This window comes from Homo sapiens, chromosome 13, assembly GCF_000001405.40.
Source record: "Homo sapiens chromosome 13, GRCh38.p14 Primary Assembly".
Classification (NCBI taxonomy): domain Eukaryota; kingdom Metazoa; phylum Chordata; class Mammalia; order Primates; family Hominidae; genus Homo; species Homo sapiens.
The window spans coordinates 60,214,021-60,230,830 of NC_000013.11; the positions used below are offsets into that span (position 1 = coordinate 60,214,021).

The window sequence follows — 16,810 nt, forward strand, 5'->3', positions numbered from 1 at the left end:
CTACTGAAGCAGCACGTGAACACCAGGAAGAAAAATAACAATTACTTCTTGAAAAAGAGTGATGAGACCATGATCAAAGACTGGTCTTTTTGGTTGAGATAGAGAAAGTGCCAAATGTCTGATAACATTAGATTAATTTGAGATCCAGAGAACGTTTGGGTCAAGCCAACAAATTTATCTTTATTTGAGCTCTTAGCAACCTGTATGGCAGGTGTTTATTACTCTTGGAGAAGTGCTTCTGTTTATCTGGAAAGCGTTCATTGAGACATGAGTCTCCATTATATAAGTGTGACATGAAGTAAGTGGTAAGAAGTTGTCATGCAAACTCATGTTGTAAGGAACCACGTTTTATTGGAAGATGCTCATGATGAAGAATTTCTTAGACAAAATGCAGATTAGACTCATGTTTACATCATCCCCAATTACAAGATCACCAGAGAAAATGTGTCATTGTCCTCCATGGAGTTGTGCTTATTTCAGGCAAAATGATTTCTGATGCATATCCCTCCTTTCTTGATGCCTGGTCAACAATAACTCCAGCTGTCAAGTGCTGATGCAAGAGATGGAAATTCCATTTTTCTTTTCTTCTACAGGAAACACAAAGATCCTCCATGCAATCTTCTGGGCTATCGTCATATAGTATGATTTATGTATTTCTTGTATGTTTCTTTCTTTTTAAATCTGGAAGTATATTCTTTTGTTTTATTGGGCTATTTATTCTCTTGACATCCTTGGATGTGAGTTAATGGAACCATAATAAAAGGATAGAGAAGTAGAACAAACAAGCCTGATGGTATAGATTTAGGACTGCCTGACAGATTAGGGATAGCAAGGAGAGGAACAAAAGATAAAATCACCTGATTCATGCGCACTGGGATGGTCCAGAAAAACCTAGTTCTTGAAGTTTCACTATGCTGTAACTCTGGAAAAGAAACACAGAAAAGGTCAGGCTATTATTGCAGGAATTGAGAAAAAATGTTTTTCTTTTAAAAATTAATTTCGATATACGAAATCTAAAAGCTTAATCTAAGAGCCTAGAATAATGCTTTGTGCTCAATGAGCATTTTATAAACATTTGTTACTTAAAGTCAGGGAAAGAGTTTATGGATATGAGAATAATGGAATGGAGTGGACACACAACTATTATTTTATCTGCATAGAAGAGAATCCACTCCCCTTCTGGCCATGCCCCACTCATACGGCTGAGACTGGAAGCTGCCATCCTCCTACAGATTCTGCTGTGGTGATTGATGTAGAAATGGAAACCTAAATTAAAATCATCCTAGCGCCTTCCTCCACGGTAATTGGCCCAAAGAAGGACACTTCACACGAGCTGAGCCGACTGGAGGACTTCTCCCAATTTTTCAAGTTGCAACCATGGAAAGTGATAAAACTGGAATAATGTAAGCTTGAAAACTGCTGTCGCTGAGTGTCCCATACTCCATACTCAGGAGGAAATGAGTCTGAGATGGTGAAGTCAACCCGTGGATGGAGACAAGAGGGGAAAGAGTCCTGACCACATGTGACCTGGTTCCAGCTGTCCCTTAGGTCCAGTTTTATCTCTGCCCTTTATAATATTTGGCCACTTGAGCCAACACTGCCCCATGAAAGAGTTTTAACTAACACAAGGAAAAATTAAAGATGAACAAGATAGATTTGGGAATAATCTAGGCTCTAAGCAATAGGAGGTAAAGGATTATATCATTCATCTTCTTAATCACAGTGCATAAAATAGTGCTTGGTACACAGTTGGCAGTCAATAACTCTACAGTTTTTCAAAATGTATTTATTAAGTGTCTGGAGAACATGCTAATTACTGAGAATAAAATAGTGAGCAAGACAAGTGCAGTCCTTGCCCTTAAGAAGCTTTCAAGTGGAAAGCACAGAGAAGATGATAACTGGCAATGATATCATAATAAAAAGTAATACTTTTTTTTAAGAGACTGGGTCTCACTCTGTCTCCCACACCGGAGTACTGAGGCATGATCATAGCTCACCGTAGCCTCAAACTCCTGGGCTCAAGCCATCCCCCTGCCTCAATCTTCTGAGTAGCTGAGACTACAGGCATGTGCCACTGCCCTTAGCTAATTTTTTAAAAATTTTTTTATAAAGATGGTGTTTCAGTTTGTTGCCCAGGCTGGACTTGAACTCCTGGCTTCAACCCCCAAAGTGTTAGGGGGTTGATCCTTCTGCCTCAACCCCCAAAGTGTTAGGATTACAGACATGAGCCACCACCCCTGGCCAAGTAATACTTTTTTGATAGGGGGAATATATGATTAGTTATAGTTTTGGTGTGACAAGTAGACAGCCTAGCTAATCCAAGTTAAAAAGGGAATTATTAGGTAATGGGGTGTCTCACAGAACACAAGAGGGGGAACGCAGCCTGACTTTTGGGAGGACAGGGACTGGGAATTGGAGAGTCATTGTCTCCCTAGGAAATGTTCTTTCTGACTCTCCTCTCTGCTTCTCCTTTTCTTTACCCCAAAACTGTCTTATTTGCTCCCCAGTCCAAGTGCTGTTGTAAAACTGGTCACAGCTTTTAAGTACAGACCTGTCCAGAGAAGACAATTATATTGACCAGAATTCCCCTAAGGAGGAATATCTACTCTTGAAAGTAATGCTTCAATAAGCTCTTCGATCAGCTGATTGGCTTAGTGGGTGAGCCCTCAGGGCATGCTCATGTCTGAAAAGACGATTGCTGTAAATTGCTATGCACAAAACAAGGAGGAGAATTAGTGTGGCCCAGGAGAGAGACAGAGTTAGGAAGGAGAGGGAGAGGGGAGGGACTGAATGAACTCTCCCCTCTCCATTCCATTTATAGTAAAGACTATTAAAATGATAAGATACTGGGGATGATAGATATTTTACTAGAAACTAACAAAAGAACTGAGTTGTCTGGGTTGCAACAAAACAAGACAGTGCCGGGAGCAGGGACAACCAAGTCACACAAGCTAAAGACTTGGCCACCTGGAGAGATTGATGCATTCTCTTCGTTAAATTTCAGATGACCAGGAAAGAATTCTGCTTGGCTTATCTTGGGACAAGAGGGGCAGATAGAAGGGTGGGATTATGTACAAAATGACTGTTGGATCCACATTTATGTTGGGGTGGGCTGGGGTGTTACCAGTGGAATGTATCTGAGTTACCAGCGGCGAATCCGTACGGGTTTACAGCAACCTCAGTTCTTGCTTCCTCAGAAGAAAGAATTCCACTGAGGGGCATAAGGCAGAAAAACAGACCAAGGCACGGTTCAGAGCAGGAGTGGAAGTTTATTTTAAAAGCCTTTAGAATAGGAAAGAAAGGAAAGTACACTTGGAAGAGACCCAAGCAAGCAACTTGAAGGACAAATGCGGCATTTAACCTTGATCCTAGAAGGCTGGCCCACTTCTGGGGTCTTGCATCCCTTTCCCATGATTTCTTCCCTTAGGGTGGGCTGCCCGCATGCACAGTGTCCTCCTTACCTTTGGGAAGTGAACACTCCTAGTGTGTTTAGGAAGTTGTATGCATAGCCATCTGAGGCTTTCTTCCCTTTTCTGATGGAGTGCCACAGGAAAGTCATGCTCCATCATTTTGTCTCATAATGTGCATGCCCAGGAAGTTGCTTTTTCTCACATCTGCATTCAGTCAACACTTTGGTGCGACAGGTGTAGACCATCAGGAAATGGCCTCTCCCTGGCACTGGCTGCCAATTTATCACTTTTAGATAGGCTATGTGATAACTGCCAAACCATCATCACTCAACATTCCTGGTAGAGGGGAGGGAGCCCTCTCCTGCCCTGCTCATGCTTAACTACCTGTAACAGGGGGGCAGTTAAGGGAATTTCTTGCGAACTGATCAGAGCTTTTAAAAGGTCTTCAATACAGGGACAAAAATGGGTGTCCAGAATATATGTGTGAGAGACATCTCATCCAAGCTAAATATTCTTTGAGTGAAAGAATTAATACACAGAACTTTCTTGGATGGCTCGGCAAAAGCTGTGATATAAACAGAAGAAAGGCAAAGCTATGGGTCAGCAGAAGTCTAGAGTGAGAAAAAGGTATGAGGTGAACAGAGAGTCAGGAGAATCTGCGGTGTCAAGAAAAGTAGAAGCCAAGACAGAGAGAAACACTGGAAGCCTGTGGATGAAGAGGGTGAAATAATGAGACACAACCATGTGGTAGCTGAAGGGTGTTCCAGTTCTCCTTGAGGTGTGACTTGGTGAGCAAAGGGCTATTATCCTGAAGGCCTGGTTGTTTTGTTTAACTCCTGGATGTTTTTCTGTGTGTGTGTGTGTGTGTGTGTGTGTGTGTGTGTGTGTGTGCGTTTACCTTACCTACCTTCCTTCCTTATTTTTAACGTACCTTACAAATAACTCCTATTACCTGAGATGCCCTAGGCATGTTTATGATCCTGAGAATCTGACAGAGTTTAATAACAAAACCACCAAGGAAGAAAGGAAGGAAGAAAAGAGAAAGGGAGAGAGTGAGAGAAAGAAGCACGTGTGATCAGAGCTAGCGTATTCATTCTTATTATCAAGTAAAAGCTGACTTCTGTCCTCCAATTGCTGTTTTTTTCCTCCCCACCTCCACTTCTTTATTCTTTGTGATCCTTTCTCTCCCTTCAAAACAACAACAATAACAACAACAACAAAAACACCAAACCTAATCCTACCTACCTTTCTCCTTTCCTGTTCTATTTAGTTACAGTATAATGATGTACAGATGCTCACCACGTTACTCAACACTTGACTTATGCAAATTTGACCTTATACAAATTATTATATAAGGAACACAGTAAAGTTTTAGAAATGTAGAAAATTTGCATTTTATGTGAAAACAAAAAGTAGCCTAGTGCATAGATGAATTGCCTCCCAAAGTGTTTTGATGCATCATGTCACATTGCCATGTGTTAGAATCACAGCCCTGCATCCTTGACTGTACCATAGTACAGGATGCAGTTAAGCGCTCAGACCCTGGGATCTGGCTGCTTGGATTTGTATCCTTTTTCTACCATTTTCTAGCTGAATGACCTTGAGTAAGTCACCTAAAGCCTCTAAGCCTCAACTTACTTTCTTTCTTTCTTTCTTTCTTTCTTTCTTTCTTTCTTTCTTTCTTTCTTTCTTCTTTTTTTTTTTTTCTTGTTTGAGACAGAGTTTCGCTCTTGTTGCCCAGGATGGGGTGCAATGCTGCAATCTTGGCTCACCGCAACCTCCACCTCCTAGGTTCCAGCGATTCTCCTGCCTCAGCCTCCTGAGTAGTTGGGATTACAGGCATGTGCCACCATGCTTGGCTAATTTTGTATTTTTAGTAGAGATGGCATTTCTCCATGTTGGTTAGGCTGGTCTCCAACTCCCGACCTCAGGTGATCGCCTGTCTCAGCCTCCCAAAGTGCTGGGATTACAGGCATGAACCTCCCCATGCCTGGCCTAAGCCTCAATATTCTAATCAGTGAAGTAGGAGTAATGTTTTCTTTCTCAGAGTTGTTATAAGAGATAGATCAGGTATGGAGCTTCAGTGGCACAATCAACTAGTGCATGGTACTCATACAGAAATAGATCAGGTACTCTTAGCATAATAGCAGCCTGTAGTAAATACCCTTGCTAGTAAATTCAGAGTTTAATGTTGTTGACCCCAATGGCAGGGTTCTTCTTTTGCTGACCTACATATTAAATCTTTTCCTACTTTTAAGTTATGACAAAAACTGAAAAGAACAACTGCATAAACTGGAGAGAATCTGTCATAGCAAATCTAGCACTGCGGGGGTTCAGATCTAAGATTAGTCTTATTTTTTTCTTAGGGGAGTTGAACTGAGCTACTATAGTGATGAAGCAAATTGATACTCCTCCAAAATGCTTTTCCAGATGTTTAGCAAAGCTCTCAATTCCTTCTATTCCAATCATAGTCTCTCATTCTAAGTTCTCCTGGATTATTAAGTGAAGGGGGTGGGTGGGAGGGGGGTGGATGGGGCAGGGAATACTTAAACCTGGTTTGGAGAAAGTGAAAGTGAAGGGAGGAGAGCAACATTGAGGATTGTAACCCAAATATTCTCCCTATAAATACAACTTCCTGCAGAAACTCAGGTCAGGTGTCTTTAAGTTGCAATACAGTAGAATAAAACATTCCCCATCTCTCATTGAATGGAGAATTTATCAGGCTGCATTTTAAAAAATCTCCTTTTGTGGAACTAGTGAGAGTCTCTGGGAACCAAGTCCATATCCATCATAATGAAGCTAGATAAGGGTACATGACTCAGATTCTGCCCATCAAAACCAACCATCCAAGCACCATGTGAAAGGCTTTGATAAGGCCCTGTGAAGACAGTTTATGCAGTTCATTTGTCATTGAATATGGTTTCATCCTTAGCGCAACATTTTTAAACAGCTTGATTTTTAAAAAATCAATAGTCCTTGAATAAGAATGATATCAGGACAACAATCTTCAATTTAATATTGAGGGCCCTTTTTCACATCTTTTTTAACTTTAAACTGACTTGTATCGTAGTCTAAATTCCAACAGTGACTTTCAAATGCTTCCAGATTAATTCTTTCTTACTTTTGTCATATAGCACAGGTACAGTCTCTTTTTTCCTAGTGGTTTTCAAACTTGCGTTTTGAGCTGAGGAATCTCTTATCAAATAAAATCTGACTCAGAACCCAACAGCATAGTGGAACTGCTCAGGAAGTATCTCCTATCAGGAAAATCATTGGAAAATCATTGCCCTATACCAAAAATACTTTCACTGACAGGTTTCCTAGCCAGAATAGAGGATGTAAGTTCCTCAAAAAATGTAAGTTGCTCAAAGAATAGAAATTTGTTAAGTAACATATGTAGAAAATAACATATAGTAACTGTAGTCATGAAAAAGTTGAATTCCAGGATTAGGCTTTGTGACCAGAAATAGAAATGGCTACACAGGTTCTAGACTGAATTTCCCAGTCTGCATTCCCCATCTCCTGCAGGTTGGAAGGGCTGGGGCTCTGGAGCAGCACATTAGCAATTGGCTCTCTTGCCTCTCTCCTGAATGGATATCCTCCCAATAATTCAAAGTTGTACATGTTGTAAGCCCAGGACTTTCAAACTGGGTAACTGATCCAAACACTGGGAATGTGGGTTCAGAATATGACCCATTTGGAAGAAAACCTAAATGGGTCATATTCTGGACCCACATTCCCAGTCGAGACAGTACAAATGATAGTGGCAGGAGGCAGACAAATGCCTAGGCAGATACAGGCAGGTTGCTGGTGAAACCCCACTTTGAAACCAAAGACAGTTTAAATCCTGAAAATCAAGCCACAATCTCGGAAAAATCCATGGATTGGATTAAGAACATCTCTTCCTGTTTGGCACACTTTCCCCTGATTGATCTCCACCCTTCACCTATTTAACATATACCTACCCTTCCCTAATTGGTTTTTTACACTGTCATGCCCACCTTTTGTGGTGATTTGTTTTAGCCTCTTTTGCATACTCACAAGCCAATCAGCATGTACTCTCCCATTCTGAGCCCATAAAAGCCCCGGACCTAGACACACTGAGAGAGACACCACCCAACTTTGGGCGGGGGACCACCCTTGCCTCCCCTCTCTATTGAGAACTGTTCAATCGCTCAATAAAATTCTTCTCCGTCCTCCTTACCCTTCTATTGTGAGTATAACCTCATTCTTGGACATGGGACAAGAACTCAGGAACCAGCAAATGTGGGTACAAGCTGTAACACAGGCAGGCTGGGGCACACCCAGCCCAGCTGTGGGCTGAGCTGGTGCACGAGCCAGGCGCAGCCTGGTGGGCCGAGTGGATGAAGTGCCTCCTGCAGCCAGCCTGGGGCCAAGTGAGGCCTAGGTGGGGGCATCGCTGGCCATGGAGGGCCCCAACTGGCAAAGTGGCAGACAAAAATCCTGCATCACAAAGATATACTCCTAAGTTGCTTAGACTTTGACATAAGACTGGAGAGAAAAGAATTTTTCTTCCAACACAAGCAAGCATGCCAAACCTTACTTTGCTAAAGGGAACTTTGATCCCAGAGGCACTATTCTACAGACAACAGTTCCCTGCATTATATTTGAGAAGACTAACCATCTTTAGGATGAGCCCCCATTTTCCAGTTCTAGAGTGGGATCCTTGGTTTTTATAAATCTACAAGGGAAAAACATTTCCATATCCTAAACAAAGCTACCTGGCAGAATAGCTACGTTGGGCAGATTCAATAGTAAGGACCTACTTGCGTAGCGCAAAGCTAGATGTGTCAAAGCGTTATGAATTGTTCATAGTATGTGATAATCATGATTATATATTTCAATGTTGTACCTTTGCATGGAAAGCTTCTTTGACTGTGTTTTCAGTTTCTCTGTTGTTCCTTCAAAGCAGGCAGCCACCATCTCTGAGAGCTGCTGCTATTATAGTAAATAAGAAGTTATGTGCTTCCTATCTGTCTCCTCATAACTAACTCTCTTCATTAAAGTTAGAAGGAACAGTGGTATGCTGAAGCTGGACAATACAGCCTCATTAGAGCTGACTGTTATATTTTTAGGAATTTTATTTTATTAGGTTGGTGCAAAAGTAATCAAAAGTCATGGCAAAAACTGCAATTACTTTTGCACCAAACTAATACATCCCACTATTAAAAATTAAATTGTATAACCTTAGAATTAAATAAATTTCTTTTAAAAAAAGGTAACAAATAATCCAAACTCTTCACATCTTGGTGATTTTACTACATTTTACAACAATCTATACACAATATTTATGTTCATTTTATCTATATGGTAGAAATATCATGTAAAAGTGTGCAACTCTTTTCCACTCCACATTCAGCGATGTCAGGTGGGTAGCTTGAAATCAACTATGAGCATTTACACCATGGAAATTGGCAAACATAAAAAAATAGGGCTTTTATTTCAAGAGAACTAGTTGTTAAATGTTTACCATCACACCATTGACAACGAGAGTATAAATAGATGTCAATTCCTTTGCCAATACTTGACAAAACAATTACTTATGTTTACATGACTGGCTAGTGAGACATTTTGCCATCAACTAGCTATTTTTATAATGTTGTGAGCCTTGATACTCACAACTGAATTCCCTCATTCTCTCTTTATCACCAGTGAAAATTGTAAATCAGCAGCAATAAAGAATTAAATTGGGTTTCAACAAGAAATAAAAATGATGCCAATCAACTATGTGGGTAGAATTTTATGCTGTTAGAAAATAAGTAAATATATGAAACTCATAAATCTATTGCATGAATATATCAGTCAGAGATGGAGAAAAAGCTATCACAAGGGGAGGGACATAAATTGTGCTTTGTGAAAAGAATGTACTAAAATAAGGAAATGCACTGCATGGGTTCATAATTTGGTAATAATATGAGTTCATTAGTTGCTATATGTTTTCTGGGCAGTAGTTTGTCCCTGATAGAAAGCTTTACTGAAGATCCTGGGATCAGGTCACAGAAGAATGATTTAGTGAACATCTAATGGCTGTTGTCAATGTGCTCACATTCAAAGCCAGGCCCATCCGTAGAGGGGATCCCTTGTGTGGTGCCTTTCTGTTTCGTTTCCTTCACCAGGGAAGTCACAGTATTGCTGCTCCCTGGGAGTCCAGGCCCTGAGCCCCAGAGAATATTCACCTCCACCTATGTCCTGCATCCCCAGTCCTTAGTGTTTGTCTAATTATTAACCTTATTCCTGAATAATTAATCCTAATAACATTTTCATTGGTAAGTAAGGGATATATATATGTGTGCGTGTGTGTGTCTGTGTGTGTGTGTGTATGTGTGTGTGTAAGAGTTCTGCTGTAAAATTTCAGAGGACCAAAAAACTCTGTGATAAAGATAAATAGTATTTAATTTAATATATTTAAAAAATTAAACTTAATGCAAAAAACCCATGATTCATAGAATATCAAAATCTGAAATAAAGACAGGATTAGACTTTAGGATAAGGGTGCTGTTCCCACTAGTGAACCAGGCTTCCAAGTGGAATGCCTTTCTTCCCATTTTCATTTGTCTCCCGCGAGTTTGCTCAATTAGCTCTTTCTTTTCTCTCCTAAATTTTCAGCTTCTAGCTCTGTATAGGCATTCATTTCCCAAAGCCTACAAACTTGCTAAAGTTCCAACCACCTTTGAAACAAAAACAAAAGGAAGAACTGCCTCATTTCAATTCCTTTGATTTTTCTCCTGCTAACATCCCACACATTTTCCTTTATACCAAAGTTCCTTGAAAAAGTAACCTGTGCTCAGTGTCTTTATGTTTTTACCTCCCGTTTGGCATTTCTTCAATGCACAATGTTCATTATTCCTGTCTTTTGTGTGGGGGAGGTATACAGGGTCTTGCTCTGTCACCTAGGCTGGGGTGTGGTGGCACGATCTCGGCCCACTGCAACCTCCGCCTCCTGAGTTCAAGCAATTCTCTTGCCTCAGCCTCCTGAGTAACTGGGATTACAGGCATACGACACCATGCCCAGCTAATTTTTGTATTTTTTATTAGAGATGGGTTTCACCATGTTGGCCAGGCTGGTCTTGAATTCCTGGCCTCTAGTGATCCGCCCACCGTGGCCTCCCAAAGTGCAGAGATTGCAGGCATGAACCACCGCACCTGGCCACTCCAGTCTTTTTGAGAAATCTCTTCTTTTTGACTTCTATGATATCACTTTTTATTATTCCTTCTTCTACCTCCAAACATTCCTTCTCAGTCTTACTTGGAATCTCATTTATTTCTGCCCTCTCTTAAAACGTTGGCAATCGTCAGGTGCTAGCATCATCCTCTGCTTCCCTCACCCCTCCTTCAACGACCACACCAACTCCCATGAGAGAACTATCAAAAACAAGCACACAACACTTATTTCCAGCTCTGAAGTCTCTCCTGGATACAGATTTTTATATAGGCAGCCTACTAGACAGCCCCTCTTGGCCACTCATAGACACCTCAACCTCAACATATCTTAACACACTCATTACGTAGCTCATTCACCACCGCTCTGGCTGGCTTTACCTCTACTATTTATCTCGTTGAATGGCACCAGGAATTCAACAAGGAAGCATGAAGCCACTCTAGAGTATTCCTTTTCCTCAAAGGCTAGAGACCTGAGTACTCCTAAAGACACCACCTCCAGCATCCGTGGAGCTGCCAACAGAAGCCCTCAGAATTTCACTTACGGTTTGCACACAGGACTTGTGGGACAACCTGTGATCCTGGAATGACATCCCACATTATCACAGTGTATTCCTCTTCTCTGCCCTCACCTTCTGCTTCTCTTATTCCTGCTTCCTCTGTGCCAGAAATGCTAGCCTTCCTGCTTCTCCCTGGACCTTTCTTCCTCCAGATACACAGCTCCCCACCTTCCTTTGCTCATCTGTCTACTGATAGAAATATCTGTCATTGAGCCCTTTCCTAACCACCCCACATAAAATTAGTAACCTACTCCCCTACTGTTCTCTTATCTTCCTATCCAGCTTCATTTTCCTTCTTAGCACTTATACACACCTGACTTATTTTGTTTGTTCATTTTTCTTGTCTATTAAAATGTGCATCCCCTGAAACCAGGGTCTAGCTTACTAACTATATTTTCATCCCCTAGAACAGTGTTCAATCTTTAGTAGAGACAAAACATACATTTGTTAAATGACTGTATGATTAATTCCTGTCATACCTACTCCTTCAACATTTATCGTCTCAGTTTCCTTGGATATTCCTCACATATTCAACAAATATTCACTGAGCTCTTCATACAAGACCTGCAGAGTGCTGGCTGCTGCCATTGTCGCTGCTGCAGGACTCATTGTCTCCAGCCTGGACTCTTGGAATTGTCTCATAACTGGTTTCCTTGCTTACAGTCAGTTCTCCTTTTTACCTGTTCTTCATGCTGTTGCTAGGTTGTCTTTCCAACTTAGCTCACATTGATAGCTTCTCTGTGAAGCCTTTCTCAATAATTTCAGTAGAATGTCTTGACCTTCCTTGTGCCTCAATGTGCCTTGTACAGATGGCTGTCATAGCACATACACTATGGCACTTTGCTGAACATATTTATACATCTGTCACGTATTATTTGACTATAAACTCACTGAGGACAGATGTTACAGTCTTTTATTTGCCCTGAGTTTTATTTATCCTCACTATTTAACACAATACCAGGGCTAACATGAATGCTTGATAAATATTTGTTGAATAAGTAACATCATAGTGTTATCAACAAATTAACTGTCTTTATGCCAGAGAGTCTAAAGCACTTACACACAAATCATAGTATGTTTTTCCAACTTAAAAAAAAATGATTTGAACATACATCTTTGTATGATAGGTAAAAAGCAGGTATTATTATCTCCCTCTAACAGAAGGAGGATTGGATTTGTATCTGCTTCCTAAGATTACTTTGCACCCATAACTGGATTGATAGCATCAAGTCTAGTGTGCAGATTATTAAATTGGATGCTGAGGGATTAGCAAAGAAAAGTAGAAACATTCTCTGCCTTCAAGGATCATATTACCTGAAGGGGAAGACAATACCCATAGAAAATAGGTAGGAAAATAGGTCCATTGAAGCTCTTCTAAACAATCCTAAAAATGGACCACTCAAATATTGAGAGAAAGGAAAAATGCTGAAATTACCTCTGTAACCAAACTGGAACTTCTTTTGGAGATCAGCATCTGTATTTAGATGACAGCTGCTCTACCCAGAGGGCTGTACACAGGGAGACAAGTCACCTCTTCCAAGCCTGCAGTGCTCCCTAACGGCCAGCTGTCCGGAGCATGCAGCAGAATGGCAGCATCCTGACAGTTTAATTCTGAGCATCACGTCTGCAATTTACCTGGAGGGAAGAAGCTGAAGGCAGAATGCATAGGGAAATGATGATGAATTCCTAATGACTATTCTAGGTTAAATACTACTGACAAGTCAATGGGTAGAAGGTTTCATTTTGAAGGAGGCTGCTAAAAAGTGATTAACACCATATTTCTAAAACTAAATCAAAACTCTACCAGGGATTCAGCTTCAAAATTGTGATAGTCTGGTTTTCCAGGAAAATGACTGTGTACTAAGAGAACAAGGCAGGGAAGTCAATTAACATTTCTAGGCACTTTTTATGTGTTTTAAATAGTTCTTTCAAACCCTCTCCCAAATGAATCCTCACAACAATATTGCAAGATAAACATTACTAATTCCGTTATTATAGATGAGGATATTGTAGAAAATAAAGGTCCACATGAAAACAGTATGTCTTTCTATCAATGTGGACTCATGAATACTTATTGTAATCAGTAGGTTATAATCTATTAGTCTCATTTATTTTGTTGCCTTTCCCAGCTTTGACCATGGGGAGTTCCCTCAAGTGGACTCTGGTGTCCTTTTCACATGACTCATCAATTTTTTATCATTTCCTTACTTTCTGGCATCACAAGATATTTCAGGCTCCCCTTGTATTTTTTTTTCCTCAACTCTGGAATCAGCCAAGGAGCACTGGTTCCTTTTATTAGAGAATGGTTTTAAAATGAAAATGAGATCTGAGTGCTGGTGGGGCTCATTTGCCAAGGTGATGTTGTTTCTAGGTGCTCACAGAGAAAACAGATGAGAAATATATACATGTATACACATACATAAGTTCCACATACATCCATCTACATCTTTTTCTATCTCTAGCTATCTCAAATATATCAAAAACACAAGTTCACATTGATACCTCAGATTCCAAACCACCACCTCAGTGTTCATTCAAGCCTGTCCCATCTCTGTCTCCAATAGTGAGGAACCAGACTCTCATTACCCCCAATATATTTATTTGAGCAGTCCTAGAACATACACAAAGTAGTTACTGAATTGCTAACTCATACTCCAGTGAAAAACAAATTCAGTAACTAACAATATTTGTGAACAGTTTTTTTTTGTCTTTAGCCTTACAAAATATAGTCAAAACATTGTTTTTCAAATTTGTTACTGTATTTCATTTTCGATGTTCTCTACTTCCTAATTCATTTTGACTATTTATTCAGTATGACTAATGTGATCATGATACCAAAAGTCAAAGCATATGTGTGTGTGTGTGTACATATGTATCTATATATATACATATACATACATATATATACACACATATACATATACATATATATATATACATATACATATATATCTAAAGGTATAATCAGAGAAATGTCACCTCCCTTTAGCCCTTCTCCTTTGTTCCTGCTCTCCCATTCTTTCTATTGAGTCCCTACCCATCTCCTTTGGGTAACCAATCTCATTAGTTCAAGTTTATTCTTATTATGTTTCTATTTGCACAAATAAGAAGATACATGTATATTTTCTTTTCCCTTTTTTCTTTTTTTTCTTTTCGTTCTTTCTTCTTCCTTTTTTTTTTTTTTTTTTTAGAGATTCTCACTCTTTTTCCCAGGCTGGAGTACAGTGGCATGATCACGACTCACTGCAGCCTCGACCTCCTAGACTCAGGTGATCCTCCCACCTCAACTTCCTGAGTAGCTGGGACCATAGGCTCATGCCATCACACCCTGGTAATTTTTGTATTTTTTGTAGAGACAGGGTTTCACCATGTTGCCAGGCTAGTCTCGAACTCCCAGGCTCAAGAAATACACCCACCTCAGCTTCCCAAAGTGCTGGGGTTACAGGCATGAGCCACCACACCTGGCCTTATGTGTGTACTTTTTAATACTATGTTATACACATTAGGATGTACATAACATCCTAGGATTACATTTGGCTTTTTCACTTAAAAGTATATCCTGGGGCTGGGCGCGGTGGCTCATGCCTGTAATCCCAGCACTTTGGGAGGCCAAGGTGGGCGGATCACTTGAGGTCAGGAGTTCAAGACCAGCCTGACCAACATGGAGAAACCCCGTCTCTACTAAAAATACAAAATTAGCCGGCATGGTGGCACATGCCTGTAATCCCAGCTACTCAGGAGGCTGAGGCAGGAGAATCACGTGAACCTGGGAGGCAGAGGTTGCGGTGAGCCGAGATTGCACCATTGTACTCCAGCCTGGGCAACAAAAGCGAAACTCTGTCTCAAAAAAACCCAAAAAACAAAAAACATATATCCTGGAAATTAATCCGTATCACTAGTTTCTGGCTGAACGTTCCTGGTCTTTTAGGTAACAAGCTTCTGCTTTGTTCCCCAGTTCTGACAGGAGTTCAATTGTCCAGAGAGCCTTTCTCCTCCTCAAGATCCCAAATTTGGCTGATGAAATCTTTGTCTCCCTTTTATTTTTGTTCTTTGAGGGGACCTTTAGTCTATGTCTCTCTTGGGATTTAGATAACACCATCCCTGGGGCATGGCCGAATCCGGTTTCATCTTTGAACCCTGTCACTTAAGGGGTTCAGTGCTGCTTCAGAGACCAGGTGGCTAGGGGAACGTGTGTAAAAATGGAATAAAATGCACCTGATAAAGGTATGGACTTAGAAACAATGTGGAAACATGAGGGCATCCATCTGGGACTGGCTTTACCTTATCCTACCCTCCTCCCTCCCCATCACACTGTCTGTTGCTTCTTTGAACCATCTCTACTTCTTTTCCTTTTCAAAGCAACTCTAATGTTTATTTCATCTACTCTCCTCTGTGTGCCGGTAGAAAGGGGATTATTTCTTTTCTCCAAGGTTTCCCCTGTTGAATGAGGTCCCTTGATAACAAACTTTCCAAATCAGTTGTTTCCTAAACATATTTTCAAACATTCAACTAGCTTTGGTCTTTGCTAGATCCTCTTTTGGGAGTGCCTTTCTACTCCTCTACCTGGAGAACTCTGGCTCAGCAGATAAATATATCATTATCTTTGTCACATGGTCCCAGTCTCCCTTTTCCTGGAAACCCTGTGGAATGAGTTCATCCCTCCTCTATGCTCCTACAGCTCCCTGTGTACTTCTTATTACAGCATTTTCCACATTATGTCATTATATAGTAATTAGATGTTTGCAGATCTGTCTCCCCCCACTAGACCATGACTGCTTGAGGCCTGGGATAATTATGTTTCATTCTTCTTTGTGTCTCCAGTGCCTTGCAGTATCTGCCACATAGTGGGTGCTGAGTAATGTTTAAATGATTTCATTAACTATACTTTGTCACACATGCACAGTCATTTAGCACAGATACAGAAAGAGAGCAACTCTAAAGAGATTTCACGCATTCTGCTAATAAGGAGGAAACTAAAGCACTATGGTTAAGTCAGAAGTTTCTGTTTTTTAGCTGCTGATGAGATCTTGCCCCAGCCTTAGAGGCACTGAATAAAATGGTCAGATTTTCCACATGCTCAATCCAGGCCAGTAGGAGAAGTTTCACTCTTGCCCGGACCAAAAAGTCTTAGAATTACAATGATGGATGGGCTTATGGAATGGCTCTTCCTCTTCTAGGAGCAAATGTCTATAATAATTTAGGTCCCATTGGGTTGTGTCTCAACCATGCAACTGGATTTATTAATTTGACCTTTTAATTACTAACAATCTGCTGACCTGAAATTTCTTCAGATCCTCAGAGCAAGGAAATAAACTTCTCCAGGAGAGAGAATAAAAATAAAATAAAACAAAAGCAAGTCTGGCACCTAGCTATGTTGGTGTCTTCCAAAGTATGAACACCATAATAAAGGCTTTCTGCTTCTGTTTCATTATGTGACAGTCAGAGACTGTAAACACTGTCGGTGGCAGAGAAAACAGTGTCTAGAAACAAATAAGAGAAACTAAAGATGAAACTGGGAATATGTGCACAGCTTATGCTTTGGTATTCTGTGGTCATGACAGCTTTTGCTCTTATGAAAGTACTGAGTGTGGTGTTCTTTTTCCCTGTAATGATTTCTGAAACTGTGTGACTTGTGGAATTTGCCTTAAAAAATGCAGTGAG

At 40.5% G+C, this 16,810-nt stretch overlaps 1 long non-coding RNA gene across 1 annotated transcript in view; it reads right to left on the reverse strand.

Moving 5' to 3' along the window:
- Window positions 1–326: 326 nt before the first annotated feature.
- The window catches only part of LINC00434 (long intergenic non-protein coding RNA 434), a 53,758-nt gene continuing 37,274 nt past the window's right edge, over window positions 327–16,810 (reverse strand). Inside the window, exons 2-3 of the long non-coding RNA NR_047022.1 lie at window positions 12,585–12,798; window positions 327–922 (exon numbers count right to left, since the gene is read on the reverse strand). This is a non-coding gene — a long non-coding RNA (long intergenic non-protein coding RNA 434). The remainder of the gene's footprint in view (window positions 923–12,584; window positions 12,799–16,810) is intronic.